General features: G+C 51.5%; 1 protein-coding gene across 10 annotated transcripts in view, besides 1 other annotated feature; it reads right to left on the reverse strand.

Moving 5' to 3' along the window:
* The window catches only part of FBN3 (fibrillin 3), an 84,191-nt gene that overhangs the window by 14,945 nt on the left and 47,436 nt on the right, over window positions 1-21,810 (reverse strand). For 8 of the 10 annotated variants that reach the window (NM_032447.5, XM_017027372.2, XM_017027374.3 and 5 more), the window contains 19 exons: window positions 20,555-20,626; window positions 16,943-17,068; window positions 16,535-16,660; window positions 16,098-16,223; window positions 15,618-15,734; window positions 15,029-15,157; window positions 14,100-14,219; window positions 11,119-11,244; window positions 9,753-9,905; window positions 9,548-9,613; window positions 9,199-9,324; window positions 7,714-7,833; window positions 7,479-7,601; window positions 6,731-6,865; window positions 5,854-5,979; window positions 5,017-5,223; window positions 2,901-3,026; window positions 1,012-1,134; window positions 657-773 (listed from right to left, as the gene is read on the reverse strand). In NM_032447.5, coding sequence (NP_115823.3) covers window positions 657-773; window positions 1,012-1,134; window positions 2,901-3,026; window positions 5,017-5,223; window positions 5,854-5,979; window positions 6,731-6,865; window positions 7,479-7,601; window positions 7,714-7,833; window positions 9,199-9,324; window positions 9,548-9,613; window positions 9,753-9,905; window positions 11,119-11,244; window positions 14,100-14,219; window positions 15,029-15,157; window positions 15,618-15,734; window positions 16,098-16,223; window positions 16,535-16,660; window positions 16,943-17,068; window positions 20,555-20,626 — 2,364 coding nt within the window. The remainder of the gene's footprint in view (window positions 1-656; window positions 774-1,011; window positions 1,135-2,900; window positions 3,027-5,016; window positions 5,224-5,853; window positions 5,980-6,730; window positions 6,866-7,478; window positions 7,602-7,713; window positions 7,834-9,198; window positions 9,325-9,547; window positions 9,614-9,752; window positions 9,906-11,118; window positions 11,245-14,099; window positions 14,220-15,028; window positions 15,158-15,617; window positions 15,735-16,097; window positions 16,224-16,534; window positions 16,661-16,942; window positions 17,069-20,554; window positions 20,627-21,810) is intronic. The other 2 variants (XM_017027373.2, XM_017027376.2) reach the window with 2 other exon arrangements.
* Window positions 12,826-13,026: a silencer, noted in NCBI's record as "peak3327 fragment used in MPRA reporter construct". NCBI's record gives its function as "represses an SCP1 promoter by STARR-seq MPRAs in K562 erythroleukemia cells {active_cell/tissue: K562}" and the evidence as "EXISTENCE:reporter gene assay evidence [ECO:0000049][PMID:32103011]".

The following is a 21,810-nucleotide window of genomic DNA, read 5'->3' on the forward strand; positions in this document are numbered from 1 at the left end:
ATGCCCTTGTGGCTTTAGCTGTTGAACTGATTTCCTCCTGGGACTATGTGAGACCTGGGATTTCAGGAGCGCTCTGGGGAGGCTCTGGGAGGGAGATCCAGCAGGGACTTGTCAGGGGGAAGGCAAGATGCCATAAGCCAAGGCGAGAGGGCCTCTCTCCTCCCAAAGGAGAGGAAGGAGGTTCTAGATGCCTCCAGGAAGCGAGCACTAAGGAAGTAACGACTTTGTTCTGATCACCCCCATGTCCCCAATGTCCAATACACACCGGGTGCTTGATACTATTTTTTTTGAGACAGAGTTTCGCTCTTGTTGCCCAGGCTGGAGTGCAGTGGCATGATCTCAGCTCACTGCAACCTCTGCCTCCCGAGTTCAAGCGATTCTCCTGCCTCAGCTTCTCGGAGTTGCTGGGATTACAGGCACCTGCCACCATGCCAGGCTAATTTTTTTGTATTTTTAGTAGAGACGGGTTTTCACCATGTTGGCCAGGCTGGTCTTGAACTCCTGACCTCAGATGATCCACCCGCTTCAGCTTTCCAAAGTGCTGGGATTACAGGCGTGAGCCATTGCGCCTGGCCAACTTGATATTTTTTTGGTGAGCAAAATAACTAATGCTGGGGTCATGGGTCACCTCCCGGTGAGGGGCAAGGGTCACTCACCGAAGCAGGCCTGGTGGTGCTGGGTGAAGCCGGGCGGACAGCGGCAGGTGAAGGCGCCCACAGTGTTGACACAGAGGAACTGACAGTTGTGCTGCCGGGAGGTGCATTCGTCCAGGTCTGCAGCACGGATGGTCCAGCAGGCTCAGGGCAGGGCCCAGTGGGGGATTAGGGGCTTCCCAGGGGCTGCCCTTGCCACCTCCAGGCAGAGGGGTGACAAGAGAAAGACCTCGGAGATGGTGCTTGACTCCATGCAGATGGGAGGGGGTGAGATTGCAGGGGACATGTCTTGGGCATCCCTTTGGGGCCCTAGACTGCATGCAGTGGTGGGAGTGGGGGAGAGTTGAAAGGACATCACCTTTGCAGGTCCTGCCATCCTCCTCCAGCAGGTAGCCTCGGGGACAGCTGCACAGGAAACTGCCCTTCGTGTTTTTGCAGAGGAAGGTACATGGCTTGGGGACCTGGCTGCACTCATCCATATCTGGGGAAGGACAGCGTGGGTAGTGGGGCGGGGTTAGACAGACATTCCCTGGGGGTGTTCAGGGACTGAGGTCTCCACCAGACCCCGACCATCTGAAATCTGTGGACTTACACAGGAATGAACACTTCTTTCTGCAAAAAGCCAGGTGGGAAATACATTTGGTTTTGCAGGCCACACCATCTCAGATACAACTACTCCATGTGGCCTTTGTACTAGCAAAGCAGCCATTGAGGGTAAGCAGACAAATGTGCATGGCTGTGTGCTAATAAAACTTTATTGACAAGAACAAATGGAGGGCCAGACTTGACCCTCGGGCTAGAGTTTTCTTCCCGCTGACTTAGATGTACGCTTGCTACAAAACACAACTGAAAAATATCAGGATGTGCAAAATAAAAGGAAGAAATAACAGCAGGAAAGTGGCCCAAACAGGGTGGGGGTGGGAGAACGAAAGGATCCTCCCTCCCTCCCTCCCTCCCTTCCTTGTTTCTCTCTTTCTTTCTTGAGACGGAGTCTCGTTTCATCACCCAGGCTGGAATGCGATGGCGCAATCTCAGCTCACTGCACCCTCCGCCTCCCAGGTTCAAACAATTCTCCTGCCTCAGCCTCCCAAGCAGCTGGGATTACAGGCACATAACACCTGGCTAATTTTTTTTCTTTTTTTCTTTTTTTTAGTAGAGACGGTTTCATGATGTTGGCCAGGCTGGTCTCAAACTCCTGGCCTCAAGTGATCCTTCTGCCTCAGCCTCCCAAAGTGTGCTGGGATTACAGGCGTGAGCCACCTCACTTGGCCTTCCTTCCCTTCCTTCCTCTCCCTTTCTCTCTTTCTCCCTTTCTCTTTCTTTCTTTCTGTTTCTTTCTCTTTCTTTTTGTCTCTCTCTCTTTCTTTTTTCTTTCTTTCTCTTCTTTCTTCTCTTTTTTCTCTTTCTCCCCTTTCTCTTTGTTTCTTTCTCTCTCTCTCTCTTCCTTCCTTCCCTTCCCTTCCTTCCTTCCTTCCTTCCTTCCTTCCTTCCCTTTCTTTCTCTCTTTCTTTCTTGACAGAGTCTCACTCTGTTGTCCAGACTAAACTGCAGTGGCATGATCTCAGCTCACTACAACCTCCACTTCCTGGGTTCAAACGATTCTCCTGCCTCAGCCTCCCGCGTAGCTGGGATTATAGGCATGCACCAGCACGTGCAGCTAATTTTCGTATTTTTAGCAGAGATGGGGTTTCACCATCTTGGCCAGGCTGGTCTTGAAATCCTGGCTTCAAATGATGTGCCCACCTTGGCCTCCCAAAGTGCTGGGATTACAAGCATGAGCTACTATGCCTGGCCTGTTTTTTTTTTTCTTTCTTTCTTTTCTTTTGTTTTTCATTTTTTAAGAGACAGGGTCTCACTCTGTCACCCAGGCTGGACTGCAGTGGCACAATCAGCTCACTGCAGCCTCAGACTCCTGAGCTCAAGCAGCCTCCCAAGTAGCTGGGGCTACAGGCGCATGTGGGACTACAGGCCACCATCCTGGCTAATTTTTTTTAGCGATGGGGTCTTGCTATGTTGCTATGGAACTCCTGGTCTCAAGTGATCCTCCCACCTCGACCTCCCAAAATACTGGGATTACAGTAGCGAGCCATCACACCTGGCCCTCAGTTGTCTGTATGGTTTGGGCACCACTTTGTAAATGAAAGCCTAACATTGCAAAGTGGAAAGTCTCAGGGAAGTTGAGTTCAGGGGCTGCACAGAAGGTGGCCAGGCTGGGCCAAGGGTGCAGGTGCAGAGGGCTGGGCTCACCCAGGCAGGTAGTAGCAGTAGCATCCGGTGTGTACCCGGCCTGACAGTGGCAGCGGAAGGAGCCAAGGCTGTTGATGCACTCCCCATGAGCACACAGGTGAGCAAGCATACGGCATTCATCTACATCTGGGAAAAAGTAGGGTGCAAATGGGGCTGGCTGGCTGCTTCGCGCCTCCACCGAGGAATGTCTCCTTCTCTCTGCCCAGCAGCCGTCTCCTCGGAGGAAAGTCCAGCCTCCCTTCCACACCGGCCACTGCACCCCAGCCCACGTGGACCCCATCCTCAGGCTGCGGATGACACCTGAGCCCGCAGGACACGCCCATGAAGCTTCCAGGGAAGGGGACTCACACCCACCCCTCCCCAGCCTCAACAGCGACACCTCCTCAGTGCACCAACATGCAGAACAGAGACACACAGTGCATGCAACATGATACACTAGCCACACACCTAGATGCTCCTGCAGAAACACGGGAACACACGCCAACACTCAGGGACTCCCGAGTCTCCCCCCAGCCACACCCCCAAAAAGCCATTTCCTCCCCAGTCCTACTATTTTTTCTTTTTTTTTTTTTTTGAGACAGAGTCTCGCTCTGTCGCCCAGGCTGGAGTGCAGTGACACGATCTCTGCTCACTGCAAGCTCCGCCTCCCGGGTTCACGCCATTCTCCTGCCTCAGCCTCCCAAGTAGCTGGGACTACAGGCACCTGCCACCACGCCCGGCTAATTTTTTGTATTTTTAATAGAGACAGGGTTTCACCGTGTCAGCCAGGATGGTCTCAATCTCCTGACCTCGTGATCTGCCCGCCTCAGCCTCCCAAAGTGCTGGGATTACAGGCGTGAGCCACCGCGGCCCTCCCCAGTCCTGTTGATGCCACTGCTGGTCACATGGATAACCCATCTCACTATCAGTGACACACTCAGTGAGACGCACTGATGTCCTTATGCTCGCTCACACGCAGACACTCACATACCTGCCCTTGTACACTCACCCAAGTCCACAACACACAGGCCGCTGGCTCCCTCTCACTGCCTTCTACTTCACAGATGAACATGGTGTATACTTCTCACCCAGCTGACACACACAGACACACACCAGCTCCCACGCAGTCCGGAACGAGCTCTCACTCACAAAGAACACACACTGGGCCGGGCGCGGTGGCTCATGCCTGTAATCCCAGCATTTTGGGAGGCTGAGGTGGGCGGATCACTTGAGGCCAGGAGTTCGAGACCAGCCTGGCCAGCATGGCAAAACCTCATCTTTACTGGCCATGGGAGAGCCAGCCTCTCCCACGGCCCCAAAGAGATCCTTTGGGTCTGTTAAGGCCCTCTTGCTTTTTATTTTTATTTATTTATTTTTTTGGGACAGAGTTTCTCTCTGTTGCCCAGGCTGGAGTGCAATGGCGTGATCTCGTCTCACTGCAAGCTCTGCCTCCCGGATTCAAGGGATTCTCCTGCCTCAGCCTCCCGAGTAACTGGGATTACAGACACACGCCACCAAATCCAGCTAATTTTTTGTATTTTTAGTAGAGATGAGGTTTCACCATGTTGACCAGGGTGGTCTCAAACTCCTGACCTCAGGTGATCCGGCCGCCTCAGCCTCCCAAAGTGCTGGGATTACAAGTGTGAGCCACTGTGCCCGGCCTATTTTTATTGCTTTTGGAGACGAGGTCTTGCTCTATCACCCAGGCTGGAGTGCAGTGGCACTATCTTAGCTCATTGCAGCCTCAAATTCCTGGGCTTAAGCAATCCTCCTTCTTCAGCCTCCCAAAGTGCTGGGATGACAGGTATGCTACTGGGAGGCAGAGGTTGCAGTGAGCTGAGATTGCACCACTGCACTCCAGCCTGGGTGTCAAAGTGAGACTCTGTCTCAGAACACATACACACACATTGGCTCACACAACTGCTCCCTCAACCCCCCGAGTTCTTCCATGCATATGGTGCACACGTACTGGTTCTCATATCTGCTAGCACAAAGACACACACACACACACACACACACACACACACACACAGTGTGGCTCACACATTCCAGCACCTGCTGCAGTACAGACACATGACCCTGAGCAAACTCCCCCGTTTCTTGCCTCCCTGGGGGTCCTGAGGGCATGGGCACCCACCTCGGCCCTCAGCAGTGTAGCCTGAGCCATGGGGGCACAGCTTCCTGTAGGCAGAGGTGCCGGGCAGGGGACAGAGCTCGCAGCGGGGCCCCCAGCCCCGGCCACCCCCACAGCAGCACTCGGCCCTGGTGACAGCCTCACTGCTGCTGGACAGAGACCGGCACATGGTCTGCAGCACCTCGGCAAAGCAGGGCCCCTGCCGGATGTCTGCAGAGAACAATGGGAAAGACAACGGTCACTCCAGGAGGCTGGTTTGGGGGCAAAGACTGAGCTTGCTTTGGGGCAAGCTGTATTTTGGGGGTGTTGGGGACAGGGGTGTCCAGGAGGGAGTTGGATACACAGGACAGATGGCCCTAGTGGGTCACCGGCTGGGGTTAGCTCCCCAGAAGTGGGAGATCTGGGGAAGGTTGGTTCCGGGGTGTGGCGCCAGTAAGTTGGAGGAGGCATGGAGGGAGCGTCCCGCTCTTCCAGTATTTAACAGAAGGGACAGAGGGAAGAGGGGCAGCAGGGGAGCACTGGACATGTGTGTCCGGATTAGCTCAGCAACCCCCTGGGTTGCCCGTCAGTGCCGCAGGCCCCGTCCCTGCCTTGGAGGGCTCCCAGACAGTGGGAGGGACAGGCAGTGGGAGGGACAGGCAGTGGGGGGACAGGCAGTGGGAGGGACAGGCAGTGGGAGGGACAGGCAGTGGGGGGAACAGGCAGTGGAGGGAACAGGCAGTGGGAGGGACAGGGAGTGAAGGGGGCAGGCAGTGGGGGGAACAGGCAGTGGGGGGGGACAGGCAGTGGGTGCCACATGGTAGGTGGTTGCAACCACTGTGCGTGTCCAGCCACACTCACCGTGGCACTCGGTAAGGGTGGGGCTGGGCTGGAATCCCTCATCACAGTCGCACCGGAAGCTGCCCGCGGTGTTGACACAGCGGCCGTTGACACAGAGGTCAGGCTGAGCGTGGCATTCATTGTCATCTGAGATGGGAGGGGTGAGGCAGGTGGGCGGGGAGGCCACAGGCAGCCAGCCTCTCCCACAGCCCCAAAGGGCCCCTTTGGATCTGCCCAGGCCCTCTTGCTTATTTTTATTTTATTTATTTTTATTATTATTATTATTATTATTTTTTGAGACAGAGTCTCGCTCCGTTTCCCAGGCTGGAGTGCAATTGCCTGATCTTGGGTCACTACAACGTCCACCTCCCGGGTTCAAGAAATTCTTCTGCCTCAGCTTCCCAAGTAGCTGGGATTACAGGTGCCCGCCGCCACGCCCAGCTATTTTTTTTTTTTTTTTTGTATTTTTAGTAGAGACGGGGTTTCGCCGTGTTGTCCACCCTGTTCTCAAACTCCTAACCTCAGATGATCCAACCGCCTTGGTCTCCCAAAGTGCTAGGATTACAGGCGTGAGGCACCGTGCCCAGCCTTATTTTCATTTTTATTGTTTTTGGAGATGGGGTCTCACTCTGTCGTCCAGGCTGGAGTGCAGCGGCACTGTCCTCCCACTGCCTGTCACCTCCACTACCTGTCCCTCCCACTGCCTGTCCCCCCCCACTGCCTGTCCCTCCCATTCATTGAAGCCTCAAATTCCTGGGCTCAAGCGATCCTCTCGCCTCAGCCTCCCAAAGTGCTGGGATGACAGGTATGAGTCACCGTGCCCGGTCCAACCCTCTTGCTTTGACCTCTCCCTTCCACAAGGAGTTTCCTGCACCCATGAAGCTCCAGTGCCCCATACCTGTGCAGCCCTCCCCAGAGCCAGGCAGGGGCCGCATGCCTGGGGGACAGACGCACGCGAAGGTACCGATGAGGTTCTTGCACTCCATGCCCCGGGCGTGGCAGTCCTGCTGACCATCTGCACACTCGTCCACATCTTCGGATGACCAGAGACAGATGGTCAGTCAAGGCCAGGCACCCTATGGCTGTGGGGACCTGGATTCCACCCTGCGTCAGCCCTGTGGGACCTGAGTGAGTTCCCTGCAGACCCTGTCAAATGTCTATCCCTCTTAGGAAGGGAGCCCCCAGCTCCTGCCCAGCCCCAGCCTCCAAGAAGCTGAGGGAATCAGGAATTGTCCCCCAAAGCTTGCATCCCCTGCCCATGTCAGGGTCTGTGAGTCTGCTCATGGCCCCTGGAACACTGACCCTGAAACAGCCCCAGAGACACTGAGTCCCAGACCAGGGTCTCCCACGCTTGACACTATGAACATTTGGGATAGGAAAGTTCTTTGCGGTGGGCGGCTGTTCTGTGTGCATTGCAGGATTTTTTTTTTTTTTTTTTTTTTTTTGAGGCGGAGTTTTGCTCTTGTCGCCCAGGCTGGAGTGCAGTGGCATGATCTCGGCTCACTGCAACCTCCGCCTCCCAGGTTCAAGCGATTCTCCTGTCTCTCAGCCTCCCAAGTAGCTGGGATTACAGGCGTGTGCCACCATGCCCAGCTAATTTTGTATTTTTAGTAGAGACAGGGTTTTACCATATTAGTCAGGCCTACCTCGACACATGGCCCCATCCTCCCGCAGGGTGTAGCCGGCTGGACAGGTGCACAGGTAGGAGCCCTCGGTATTGTGGCAGCGGAAGGCACAGAGCAGCGGGTTCAGGGAGCATTCGTCGATGTCTGGGGAGGCCAGTGGAGGTGCCAGCTGGGTAGGGACTGAGGGCGGGACCTCCACTCCCTCCCCCAGGCATCTCCGTCACACGGCCCAGGTCCTGGGCAAGCAGAGTTGTACCCTCGCAGGTCATCATGAGGCCAGGCTCAAAGCCGTCAGCACAGGCACATTCGAAGCCTCCGATGACATTGGTGCATGTCCCTTGCCCACAGGGGTGGCCGACAGAGCACTCGTCTGTGTCTGGGTGGGAGTAAGGGGGTGGTCAGCACCTGCAGAGGGTCCCCCATCCTCAGTAGCATCCCATCTGCCTGCCTGTTGACCACCACAGATCGGAGGGGGCCAGATCGAATGCACCTCTAGTCTGGCTATGGGGCAGGCAAGCGGTATGTGTTTAGTGAATGAATGAGTGAATGTGTGAGCAAGTGGGCAGGTAAAGGAATGCATGAGTGAGCAAGGGAGTGAGTGAATGAGCAAGAAGTGAATGAATGAGCCAGTGAATGAAGGAGTGATTAAACCAGTAACTGAAACTGAGGCAGGAGGGTCATTTGAGCCCAGGAGTTCCAAAAGAGCCTGGGTAACATAGCAAGACTTCATCTCTAAAAAACATATAAATGAGTAAGTGAATGAATGGTTAAATGAATAAGGGAATGAGTGAGTAAAGGGGTGAATGAGTGGGTGAATTACTGAGTGAGTGAATGGAGAAATCAGCAAGGAAGTGAATGAATGAACAAGAGGGCAAATGAGGAAACGAATGAGTGACTGAATAAGTGAGTGAAAGCATGAATGAATGAGCAAAGGAATGAGTGAGTAAATGAATAAATGAGTGATTGAATGGGTGAATGAGCAAGGAGACAAATGAAGGAACAAATGAATGAGTGAACAAACAAGCAAGTGAATGAATGAGGGAGCAAACGAGTGAATGAGTGAATGAGTAAATGAATGAGTGAGTGAATGAATGAGCCAGTGAATAAATGAGGTGTGAATGAATGAGGGAGTGATTGAATGAACAAGTGAATGAATGAACAAGCGAAGGAATGAGTGAGCAAAGGAGTGAATGAGTGAGAGAATTAGCAAGTGAATGAGTGAGGGGGCAAATGAGTGAATGAGTGAATAAGTGAGTAAATGAATAAGTGAGTAAATGAATAAGTGAGTGAATGAGCAAGTGAATGAATGACGTGTGAATGAATGAGGGAGTTAGTGAATTAATAAGTGAATGAATGAACAAGTGAAGGAATGAGTGAGCCAAGGAGTGAATGAGTGAGTGAATTGGTAAGTGAATGAATAAGGGAGTAAATGAGTGAGTGAATGAGTGAATGAATGAGAAAATGAGTAAGTGAGTGAGCAAGTGAATGAATGAGTCAGTAAATGAATAAGTGAATGAGTAAATGAATAAGTGAGTGAGTGAATGAATGAGCAAGAAAATGAGTGAGCAAGTGAATTAATGAGTGAATGAAGCACAGAGGGAGAAAAAGTGAATGGGGGAGAGAGGCAGTGGTTAAGGACAGGATCTCACCCACTGCCTGGGGGTGTCTTCCCTGCCCTGCTCTGCTCCTTCCTGTCCTGGGAGGGGCCTGGGACAGAGCTGGGGAAGGGCTGGCCACTCACCCACACAGTTGATGCCAGTGAAGTCCAGGCTGTAGCCAAAGGGACACTCACAGCGGAAGGATCCATCGGTGTTGACACAGACGCCGTTAGTGCAGACGCCAGGGTTCTCTGCACACTCATTCACGTCTGCGGATGGCAGGCGTTGCAGACATGGCTTCTGTCACCACACAATCGCCAGAGCCCTGGCCACACTCAAGGCCCCAAGGGGACAAAAGCCCAAGCCCCAGGCTGGCAGGGTCCAGGGCCACCCAGGCTCTCAGGGGGAGCCTGAAACTCAGAGACCCAGGCAGTGCGGAGATGGATCTGGGTGGCCCAGAAGGGGCTCTTAGCATGTGGGTGAGGGGCTCACCTTCTCGGGAGTCATCCGGGCCTGGGACTGCCCCGTGGCCAAAGGGGCAGAGCTCCTGAAAGGCAGCTGGACGGAGAGGGGGAGGGGAGTCAGAGTCAGGGCCTAGGTGCAGCCCCCAGGTGTGTGCAGGGAAGGATGAGAGAAGAATGAGAGAGGAAGGTGAGGGCACATCATCCAGGGAGCCTGGACAGGGGTGGGCACTCACCGCTGCCCTCCTGGGGACACAGTTCGCAGGGGTCTCCCCAGCCCTCCCCAGGCCTCTTACTGCAGCAGCAGCGGGTCTTGGTGGTGTTGAAAGCTTTGGGCACCGAGCACTTCCCAGCCTCAAAACGGGTGAAGCAGAAACTCTGCCGTGTGTCTGTGGGGTGGGGGCTCCATTACCCTGATTGAAAGCCGCTGGCAGTGCCCACCTGCCCCTGTGACCTCCCGCACCCCAGTCCTGGTGAATGGGTTGTGCTGATCCTGCCAGTGGCCAATCAGAACATGCCATGCCCCTGGTCATGGTGATTGGTTTGAGTATGGACATGTGACCTACTCTGGGCCAATGAGGATCTGCCCTGGGTTTTTAGTTGTTGTTGTTGGTGGTGGTGGTGGTTTTTTTTTTTTTTCAGATGGAGTCTTCCTCTGTTGACCAGGCTGGAGTGCAGTGGCACGATCTCAGCTCACTGCAACCTCTACCTCCCAGGTTCGAGTGATTCTCCTGCCTCAGCCTCCCAAGTAGCTGGGATTACAGGCATGTGCCACCACACCCGGCTAATTTTTGTATTTTTAGTAGAGACGGGGTTTCACCACATTGGCTAGGCTGGTCTCAAACTCCTGACCTCAGGTGATCAGCCTGCCTCAGCCTCCCAAAGTGCTGGTATTACAGTCATGAGCCACCGCCCCTGGCCTGCCCTGGGGTTTTGAGGGGACAGCTGGAATCCCACCCCACTTCATTGCTTTGGGGTGTTCTCATGCCAGGAAGAAAGATCAAACTTGGTGGTTACTCTTGGATCAAAAACCCCTTCCTGGAGAGGCAAAACGACTGATTCCAGAAAGCCCGAGGATCCAAACCCCCAATCCTTGGCTCTGGACACCTATCAAGTCCTCACCAGCAGGCTGGGGTCCCAGCCTCCCAGAACAGCAAATATTCGCTGAGGTGAACTGCATGCTCTGCTCTCACCCTTATTGCCCCTGACCTGTGAGAGAACAGGCTGGCTCAAGCTGGGTGAGGTTAGCCCACAGTAGACAAGGCTAGCCCAGCTGAAACGGAGCCAGCCCAGAGTAGTCTAGGCTAGCTCAAACTGGACAAAACCAGCCCATTGACAGCCTACAGTCATGTGACCAATACAAGGAAAACCTAAATAAGCACACACCTAGCTCAGAATGGACCAGGTTAGCCCTCCATAGACATGACCTCTATAGCCAAGAGGTTGCTGGCACTAGGATAACTCTGCTAATGCAAACAGACACCTCTGCCTGGTCAGAGCTCCCAAAGGGTCACACAAGAAACCACAGCCCTCTTTTCTGGGCAATCTGACCCTTCCCCGCCCCACTTCCCACCCTCTTCCCTAAGCCCTGTGTGGACTTACCAAAGCAACGGTGCCCATTGTCAGAGAGGACAAAGCCAGGTGGGCAGAGGCACTGGAAGCTCCCAGGGCTGTTGGTACAGGTGCCAAAGAGGCAGAGGTTGGGCTCCTCTGAGCACTCGTCGATATCTGGAAGGGCAGGGACATGAGCTGGGTGGGGGGCAAGTAGGACCTCCATCAGTGGGGAGAGGACTCAGCTGTGAGAAGGGACAGATGGAGTGCAGGTCCAGCCAGGGGCTGCAGTGGGGCTGGGGTCCTGAGAGCTCAGTATGAGCTTCAGCACGAGGTGGGCATTGTGTGTGCACGTAGGTCCTTCCCGGAAGGCATCTCCAGAGTAAAGGTCATGGTCAGGAATAGTTCATGATTGGAGACTGAAACTGCACATAGTACAACCTCTATGGAAAACAGTGTGGCGATTCCTTAAAGAACTAAAAGTAAGGCCGGGCGCGGTGGCTCATGCCTGTAATCCCAGCACTTTGGGAGGTGGAGGCGGGTGGATCACCAGGTCAGGAGATTGAGACTATCCTGGCTAACATGGTGAAACCATCTACTAACAATACAAAAAAATTAGCCGGGTGTGGTGGTGGGCGCCTGTAGTCCCAGCTATTCTGGAGGCTGAGGTAGGAGAATGGCATGAACCCGGGAGGCAGAGCTTGCAGTGAGCTGAGCTCATACCACTGCACTTGAGCCTGGGTGACAGAGCGAGACTCTGTCTCAAAAAAAAAAAACCAAAAAACTAAAAGTAGAACTACCATTCAATCCAGCAATCCTACTACTGGGTATCTACCCAAAGGAAAGTAAGTCATTATATGAAAAAGACACACGCACATGCATGTTTATAGCAACACAATTCACAATCGCAAAAATCTGGAGCCATCATATTTATAAATGCCCATCAGCCAACGAGTAGATAAAGAAAATGTGGTATATAATACACCATGGAATACTACTCAGCCACAAAATGGAACGAAATAGGCACAGTGGCTCACACCTGTAATCCCAGCACTTTGGGAGGCCAAGGCTGGTGGATCACTTGAGATCAGGAGCTGGAGACCAGCTTGGCCAACATGGTGAAACCCTGTCTCTACTGAAAATACAGAAATTAGCTGGGCATTGTGGCGGGGCGCACCTGTAATCCCAGCTACCAGGAGGGTGAGGCAGGAGAATCGCTTGAACCCGGGAGGTGGATATTGCAGTGAGCTGAGACTGTGCCACTCCAGTCTGGGTGACAGAGTGAGACTCCACCAAAAAAAAAAAAAAAAAAAAAAAAAAGGAACAAAATAATGTCCTTTGCAGCAACTTGGATGGGGCTGGAGGCCGTTATTCTAAGTGAAGTAACTCAGGAATGGAAAACCAAATATCGTATGTTCTCACTTATAAGTGGGAGCTAATCTATGAGGATGCAAAGGCATAATAATGATATAAAGGACTTTGGGGACCCCCAGGGAAGGATGGGAGGGGGGTGAGGGATAAAAGACTACATACTGGGTACAGTGTATACTACTTAGGTGACAGGTGCACCAAAATCTCAGAAATCACCACTGAAGAACTTATCCATGTAACCAAAAACCACCTGTTCCCCCATAACTATTGAAATTAAAATAAGAAAAAATAGAAAAAAAAAATTTAAACCTTAAAAAAAGAAAATTGCACAAAGCTAACTGAGACTGGATATATTTACCCTACACCGGACAGGGTTAACTCATGTTGTACTAAGCTAGCCCAAATAGAATAGATCAGAATAGGCCGGGCATGGTGACTCATGCCTGCAATCCCAGCACTTTGGTAGGCTGAGGTGGGAGGATCGCTTGAGGTCAGGAGTTTGACACCAGCCTGGCCATCATGGTGAAACCCCGTTTCTACTAAAAATACAAAAATTGGGCCTGGCGCAATGGCTCATGCCTGTAATCCCAGCACTTTGGGAGGCCAAGGCGGGCAGATCACGAGGTCAGGAGATCGAGAGCATCCTGGCTAACATGGTGAAACCCCGTCTCTACTAAAAATACAAAAAAATAGCCGGGCATGGTGGCGGGCGCCTGTAGTCCCAGCTATTTGGGAGGTTGAGGCAGGAGAATGGCGTGAACCTGGGAGGCGGAGCTTGCAGTGAGCCGAGATTGTGCCACTGCACTCCAGCCTGGGGGATAGAGTGAGACTCCGTCTCAAAAAAAATAAACAATTAGCCAGGCATGGTGATGAGTGACTGTAATCCCAGCTACTCAGGAGGCTGAGGCAGGAGAATCTCTTGAACCCGGGAGGTGGCGGTTGCAGTGAGCTGAGAGTGAGACTCCTCTCAAAACAAAACAAACAAAAAACAAACAAACAAACAAAACAAAACAACAACAAAAAAAGGATAGATCAGAAGAGCCCAGGCCAGACTGGTCCACGTTAGCTCAGGTTATACAAGGCTAGCCCAGATGGAAGCCTGGATCAGAGGTATTCAGGCCAGACTGGTTCAGGTTAGCCCAGGCTAGCCCATCTGCTCAAGCCAGACTGGTCCAGGTTAGACCACAGTGAACAAAGCAGCCCATCTGCTCAGCCCAGGCTGGTCCAGGTTAGCCCACACTCTCTGAGGCTAGTCCAAGTGGATAAATGGACCAAAGGAGATTAGGCCAGACTTGTTAGTCCAGACTGCATGAAATCATCTCTATGGGTGATTACACCGGTGAAGCTTAGGCCAGACTGGTCCTTGATCTCCAGTTAGCAAGTGAGGAGCTCTACATTTGGGTGCACTGAGAAACGGTGAGACCCCACACCCATGTCAATTTATAGGATTCATGAGGAAGCCTGTGGGCACTAGAGACAAAGTCCTGAGTGCAGAGTCCAGAAACAATCAGAATGACAATAATAGTTTATGAAGCTGTGTTTGACGCTGCGTTAAGTACATCTCCACCTTCATCACAACCCTAGCTGGTATTCCCATTTTATGGATGGAGAAAGAGAGGCACTCCCTGGCGCCAGAAACGGGAGTGGGGCTGGACACTCACCAATGCAGTGGTCACTCTGCACCTGGAAGCCAGGGGGACAGATGCAGCGGAAGGAGCCCTCGAGGTTCTGGCAAGTGCCGGGTAGGCAGGTTCCTGCAAGGCTGAGGCACTCATTGGTGTCTGTGAAAAGGAGGAAGAAAGGTCCTTGTGCCAGCCAGGATGCAGGGGGCTCACTTGGGACTGGGACCAACACCTGCAATCACTGTGTGATCACTGAGGGCCCCAGGACAAGCCCTCCCAGTGGCAATTCTGGCTCCAGGGCAAGGGCTGAGACTCAGGACGACAGGGACAGCTGGGGAAGGATTATCTGACTCTCGTGGGGTTATAGGTGGGGCAGATGGTGTCCAGTGGAAAGAGGTAGCAAGATTCCTAATCTGGCACCACCAGCAGATTCCTTCCATGGTATCTATTTAGCGCTTCTACTATTCTTTGCTTCTGGAAAGTTACATTTTCAAGACAGCCTCACCCTACACAACAAACCCCATACATAGAAACATAGGTTTGATGTGCTGATTTTATAATTATTTTATTTATTTATTTATTTTGAGATAGGATCTTTCCCTGTTGCCCAGGCTGGATGCGGTGGTGTGATCATAGCTCACTGCATCCTCAAACTCCTGGGCTCAAGTGATTCTCCTGCCCCAGCCTCCTGAGTAGCTAGGACTACAGGCAATAGCCACCACTCCTGGCTAATTTAAATTTCTTTGTAGAGACGAGGACTCACTATGTTGCCCAGGCTAGTCTCAAACTCCTGGCCTCAAGCAATCCTTCTGCCTCAGCCTCCCAAAGTGCTGGGTATTTTTTTTTTTAAATCTTAAAATAAATGCTTGGGTAGTAAATGGATCTATGCTCACCCAGAAGTACCAAACTGTGGTGTACATGGAGCAGGGGCTGGCTGAGATGCCTCCGAGCACCATAGGCAGACTCACCCACACAGTTCTTCCCATCAGCTGTGAGCTCAAAGCCATCCTGGCAGAGGCAGTGGAAGGAACCAGCTGTGTTGAGGCAATGGCCAAATCGGCACACCTGCCCCACCAGGGTAGTACACTCATCAAAATCTGTAGAGGGGAGATGGGCAGGCCAGTTCACCCACAAAACTTGAAGGGATCAAACCTTCCTTGTACTTCTGTCCACAACTGAGTTGAGCTGACAGCATTGGCTTCAACTTGAGCACTCATGTATAGACTATGTATATTAGCCTTCTACCTATCTTATGAGGTAGTTGCTGATATTTTCTAATATAACCATGTAATGCTATGAATTTGCCTCTAAGTGCCCCCTTAGCTGCATCCTATGTATTTTCATATGTTATGCTTTCATTTTCATTTTCTTTTACTTCAAAATATTTTCTAATTTTCCTTATGATTTATTTGACCTATGGATTATTTAGGAGTATGTTATTTAATTTCTAAATAATCGGGGACTTTCTGGGCATCTTTCTGTGGCCAATTTCTAGATTCACTTCCTTAGATTCTGAGAACCCACTTTGTGGCCAGCCTGCCACCTGAGCCGACTCACCCACACAATCCCCATTGTGTGTCACCACAAAGCCAGGGAAGCAGAGGCAGTTGTAGGAGCCAATGATGTTCTTGCAGGTCCCATTTCCACAAGGCTGCCGGTCACACTCGTCAATGTCTGCAGAAGCAAAGCCGAGAGCCCAACCCAGCTCACCCAGGGCATTGGGGAACTTGGGGAGTGAGAGGCCAGCTGGACCTAGCACTCCTCCCCTGCACCTAGCCCTGCCTAGATGACTGGGCAGTGACCCCTGGCGGTGATGGCTGGGAAGTACTCCTGGTATGATATATCACCCCCATTTTACAGATGGGAAAACTGAGGCACAGGGAGGCAGATCAACCATTTACCCAAGATCTTAATCTCAGGACCCAAACTTGGATCTCTTTGTGAACTAGGATGGACAGAAACACCACTTCCATCCCAGGGGAGGTTTAGACCCCAGGCAGCCTGGCTTGAAAAGGAGGGGGAAGATAAGGGTCTCACCCATGCACAGGGTCTGGTCTGCAGAGGCCTGGAATCCACGGTGACACAGACACATGTAGCTGCCTTCTGTGTCCATGCAGTCACCATGGCTACAGACATTCGGGATCTCCCGACACTCATTCCGTCCTGGGGGTGCAGAGAGCATGGTGTTCCCAGGGCTCCTACCACAGTGTTTGCCTGAGCTCTCCCTACTGCAATGGGGAAGCCAGAATCTGCCTTGAAGTTCCCCACTCAAACTTCCACCAGGGGCGTCAGGCTGTCTGCATGGACCTGAGCTCTCACCTCTATCACATCCTATTAACAGACACTCTCAATACATCCCCCACCCCCCTAATAGTATAGAAAAGGAGAAAGACCTGGACAGAGCCATACCCCATCTAAGTCCCCATGGGTGACAGAGCCCAGCTCCCTCACCTCCTCCCAGGGACCCTGCTCACCCACACAAGCCCCGCCTGGCGACAGTTTGTACCCTCGGGTGCACTTGCAGCGGTAGCTACCGGGGATGTTGATGCAGTCAGCATTCTGCTGGCAGGGACTCTCCCTGCTGCCACACTCATCGACATCTGGGAAAATACAGCAAATGAGGTGGGGGTGACAGAGAAGCCCATCCTGACAGAATCAAACGTGAAACCCAGTCCACTGCTTCGGAGCAGGTGGTTTCTCTGGAAGCAGCCAGAGCTGGAGTAAGGGTGGTTATATGAGATGGAGGCCCTTGGAAAGGTGTTAGCCCATTATACATACAGGGAAATGGAGGCTTACAGAGTTTTAGTTACTCGCCCAGATTGCACAGTGGCGGACATGCATCCCACCCAGGCCCCAGGGCTGGGAACAGGGAGAGGTGGCACCTTCACAAGCCAGCAGGATGCTGTTGTAGTTGAAGCCTGCGGGGCACTCGCAGCGGAAACTCCCGATCTGGTTTATGCAGATGCCATTGGCACAGATGGCGGGGATCTCCCCACACTCATCAATGTCTGCAGAAGGCATCTGCCATCAGGGGCAGCCCAGCCCCCTGGGACTTCCAGCGATGCTGAGCGAAGGGACCCACTAGCCCTGCAATCTGGTTGAGGCTGTTGTGGCCACAAACCAGCACACACTCAAGAAAATCTTGCTGTGACCAAAATACATCCGCTCACACCAGAAAGAGGTGAGGAGTGGGAGGAAAGACAAGAGCAGAGAGACTGTGTGTGTTTTTCTCAATTAAAAATACACACTTCCTGTGACCCAGCAACCCTGCTGGAAAGAAATGGCCTTAAGCGTAAGCAGGACAGCGGTATGAGATGCTATTTAGCAAGAAACTGGAAACATCAACTGATGAATGCAGAGCAAAATATGGGATGTCTGTACCATGGAATATTCTTCAGCCTTATTAAGGAGTAAAGCCCTGTAACATGTGACAATGTGGTTGAAACCTAAAATCATTCTGCTAAGAGAAGCCAGACATGAAAGAACAATATTGCATGACTCCATTTAAAGGAAATGTCCAGAAGTAGCAAATCAATAGAGACAGAAAGTCGATTTGTGGTTGCCAGGGGCAGAAGGGAGGGGCTAAAGGGAGAGACTGCTAATAGGCACAGGGTTTACTTTTGTGTGATGAAAATGTTTTAAACTTAGATTGAGGCGATGGTTGTGTAACACTGTGAATGTACTCAAAACCACTAAAGAGGGCACTTTAAATGGGTGAAGTGTGTGGTATGTGAATTATATCTCAATAAAGCTGTTATATATAAACAATCTAAATGTCCATCAGTAGGGGACTGGAAACAACCTAAGTGTCCATCAAAAGGGGACTTGAAAGAACCTAAGTGTCCATCAATGGGGGACTGAAAACAATATAAGTGTCCATCAGTAGGGGACTGGAAACAAACTAAGTGTCAATCAATGGGGGACAGGAAACAACCTAAGTGTCAATCAATGGGGGACTGGAAATAACCTAAGTGCCCATCAATAGGGGACGGGAAACAACCTAAACAGGCATCAGTGGGGGACTGGAAACAAACTAAGTGTCCATCAGTGGGGGACTGGAAACAAACTAAGTGTCCATCAGTGGGGGACTGGAAACAAACTAAGTGTCCATCAGTGGGGGACTGGGAACAAACTAAGTGTCCATCAGTGGGGGACTGGAAACAACCTAAATATCCATCAGTGGGGGACTGGAAACATACTAAGTGTCCATCAATGGGGGACTGTGATGAAAATGTTCTTTTTGTGTGATGAAAATGAGTTCTAAACTTATACTGAGGTGATGGTTGCATAACTCTGTGAATGTATTCAAAACCACTAAACAGGGCACTTTAAATGGGTGAAGTGTGTGGTATGTGAATTATCTCTCAATAAAACTGTTATAAACAATATAAGTGTCCATCCAAAGGGGACTGGAAACAATCCACCTATCTATCAATAGGGGACTGGAAACAATCCAAGTGTCCATCAAAAGGAGATCTGAAACAACCTAAGTGTCCATCAGTGGGGGACTGGAAATTACCTAAGTTCCCATCACTGGGGGACCTGGGATGTATCTGCACCATGAAACACTTTTAGGCAGGGCAAAGAGAGAGGCTGCACAGCAGATAGTAACCTGGCCGGTTCTTCAAGACACAATTTGGACGAAAAAAGCAAGTTGTAACCAACATGTCAAGCATTACATCATTTACGTAAAATGCCCCAGAAACCAATGTCATATATTTTCAGTGGGGGACCTATTATGTAATGAAGGAAGAAAAAACTAGAAAGAAATATTCCAGCCATAAAGCATAAGAACGTCCAGAGAGGGAGAAAAGAGACAGAGTTGAGGTGATGACTGGAGGAGAAGTGGGTTTTATTTGTCATGGTTTGATTTTTTTTTTTTTTTTTTTTTTGCAACGGAGTCTTGCTCTGTCGCCCAGGCTAGAGTACAGTGGCACGATCTCGGCTCACTGCAAGCTCCATCTCCTGGGTTCACGCCATTCTCCTGCCTCAGCCTCCCGAGTAGCTGGGACTACAGGCGCCCGCCACCACGCCCGGCTAATTTTTTGTATTTTTAGTAGAGACGGGGTTTCACCTTGTTAGCCAGGATGGTCTCGATCTCCTGACCTCGTGATCCGCCTGCCTCGGCCTCCCAAAGTGCTGGGATTACAGGTGTGAGCCACCACGCCCGGCCGCCATGGTTTGATTTTTTTAAAAAATAAGGAGAATATATTCAGAGGATTAAAACAAATGAAAATGAATTCATCAGTTAAACACTGCATAGTTGACATTTGGGATGCAGGTGTTAAATTATGCAATACGTTGTTAAAAAGGGAGTATTCTGGCCAGGCTCAGTGGCTCACACCTGTAATCCCAGCACTTTGGGAGGCTGAGGTGGGTGGATCACCTGAGATCAGGAGTTCGAGACCAGCCTGACCAACATGGTGAAACCCTGCCTCTATTAAAATACAAAAATTAGCCAGGCATGGTGGCAGGTGCCTATAATCTCAGCTACTCGGGAGGCTGAGGCAGGAGAATCGCTTGAACCCAGGAGGCAGAGGTTGCAGTAAGTTGAGATAGTGCCATTGCACTCCAGCCTGGGCAACAAGAGAGAAACTCCATCTCAAAAAAAAAAAAAAAGGGCATGGAGCAATTTGACACAAACTGCAACACGGATGCACCTTGAGGACATCATGTTCAGTGAAATAAGCCTGACACAAAACAACAAATCCTACGTGGTTCCACTCACAGGAGGTCCCTAGAACCGTCAGATTCACAGAGTCAGAAAGTAGAATGGTGGGTTCCAGGGACTGAGGGGGATGGGGAGTGAGAGTTTCATGGGGACAGAGTTTCAGTGGGAGGAGATGAGAAAGTTCCGGATGGTGATAGTTGCAAAACAGTGAAAGTGTACTTAATGCCACTGAACTGCACACTAAAAATGGTTCAAATGATACTTTCTCGGAGACAAAAAAAAAAAAGTCTTACTCTATCCCTCAGGCTGGAGTGCAATGGCGAGATATCGGCTCACTGCAACCTTTGCCTCCTGGGTTCAAGCAATTCTCATGCCTCAGCCTCCCGAGTAGCTGGGATTACAGGCATGCACCACCATGCCCAGCTAATTTTTGTATTTTTAGTAGAGACACGGTTTCACCATGTTGGCTAGGCTGGTCTCAAACTCCTGACCTCAGGTGATCCACCCACCTCGGCCTCCCAAAGTGCTGGGATGACAGGCATGAGCCACTGTGCATGGCTCGAATGGTAAATTTTATGTTGCATATATTTTACTATCATTTTAAAAAATGGATAATGGTTTAATAAAAATAGTGTCATTCTTTTTTTAAAAAGAAGTGTTATTGAGGGCAGGATTCCTGGGGAGTTGGAGGTGTGTGGAGCGAGGAGGAGGGGAGGATGGAGGAGTGGATGTAAGGAAAAGAGCTGTTGAGGAGGGGAGGGGTGGGAGGAAGCAGACCCAGGTGGATGGGTGCCCAGGGATAGAGCAGGGACCACTCACTCACCAAGGGGCTTCCCCGTGTGGATGTCAGTGAGGAATCCCGGGGCCTGATTTCCACACAGGATCTGGTAGTCAGCTGCGCAAAGGGGAACAAAGCTGAGTCTGGGGCTGCAGGCCTGACCCCAGCCCGCTCCCAATCTGGAGGGGACACCTCATCCCTGGAGCCCAGCCCTCACCTGGCCACCTTGAACTTTTTTTGCTCTCCCCACCCTTTCCCTCCTTCCACTTATTTAATTTAATTTTTTTGAGACAAAGTCTCGTTCTGTCACCCAGGCTGGAGTGCACTGGTGCAATCACGGCTCACTGCAGCCTTAACCTCCCAGGTTCAGGTGACCCTCCCACCTTAGCCTCCCAAGTAGCTGGGATTACAGGCGTGAGCCACGACGTCTGGTTTTTAAAGCCACCTAGTTTGCAGTAATGTTTTGCAGCAGCTCTGGGGAATGAATACAGCTATAAGCCCCTAGAAGTCCCCTTCCCATCACTGTCCCATTCCTGCAGCTCCTCCTGGTGCCTGGGCTGGCTGCTAGATCATTCCAACAGGACTCATTCCTGCTGTCAACACACTCTGTTCAGTCCTGCCTCCAGGCCTTGGCTCCTGCTGTGCCCCTGCCTAGAACGCCTTCCCTCATCCTGACCGATGTTCCCATCAGGGTCCCAATCTTGGCTCTGAGCTTCTCCAGGTCTGCCCCTTCCCCAGCCCAGGAGGTCTATGGTATCTCTAACCAGCTGTGCTTTCCTCCCTGGCCTGGGACATTTACCGACCCCCTCCCACCCTATCCCAGCCCAGGAGGTCTATGGTATCTCTAACCAGCGGTGCTTTCCTCCCTGGCCTGGGACATTTACCGACCCCCTCCCACTTTATCCCAGCCCCAGCTACTCCTGTGAATCTTCAAGGGCCTTTCCCACCAATGAAAACTCCATTGATCCATCCTGAATTCTCGAAATCTGCAAAATGGAAGAAAAGCTGCCTTGCTCACTTTAAAATATTGCCTTCCATACATGGGGACTGACACAGTTTGGCTGTGTCCCCACCTAAACCTCAACTTGAACTGTAGCTCCCATATCCCCACATGTCACGGGAGGGACCCGGTGGGAGGTAACTGAGTCATGGGGGTGGGTCTTTCCCATGCTATTCTCGTGATAGTGAATAAATCTCGTGAGATCTGACAGTTTTATAAAGGGCAGTTCCCCTGCACGCGCTCTCTTGCCTGCCACCATGTAAGACGTGCTTTTGCTCCTCCTTCACCTTCTGCCATGATT

Source organism: Homo sapiens, chromosome 19, assembly GCF_000001405.40.
Source record: "Homo sapiens chromosome 19, GRCh38.p14 Primary Assembly".
Lineage (NCBI taxonomy): Eukaryota > Metazoa > Chordata > Mammalia > Primates > Hominidae > Homo > Homo sapiens.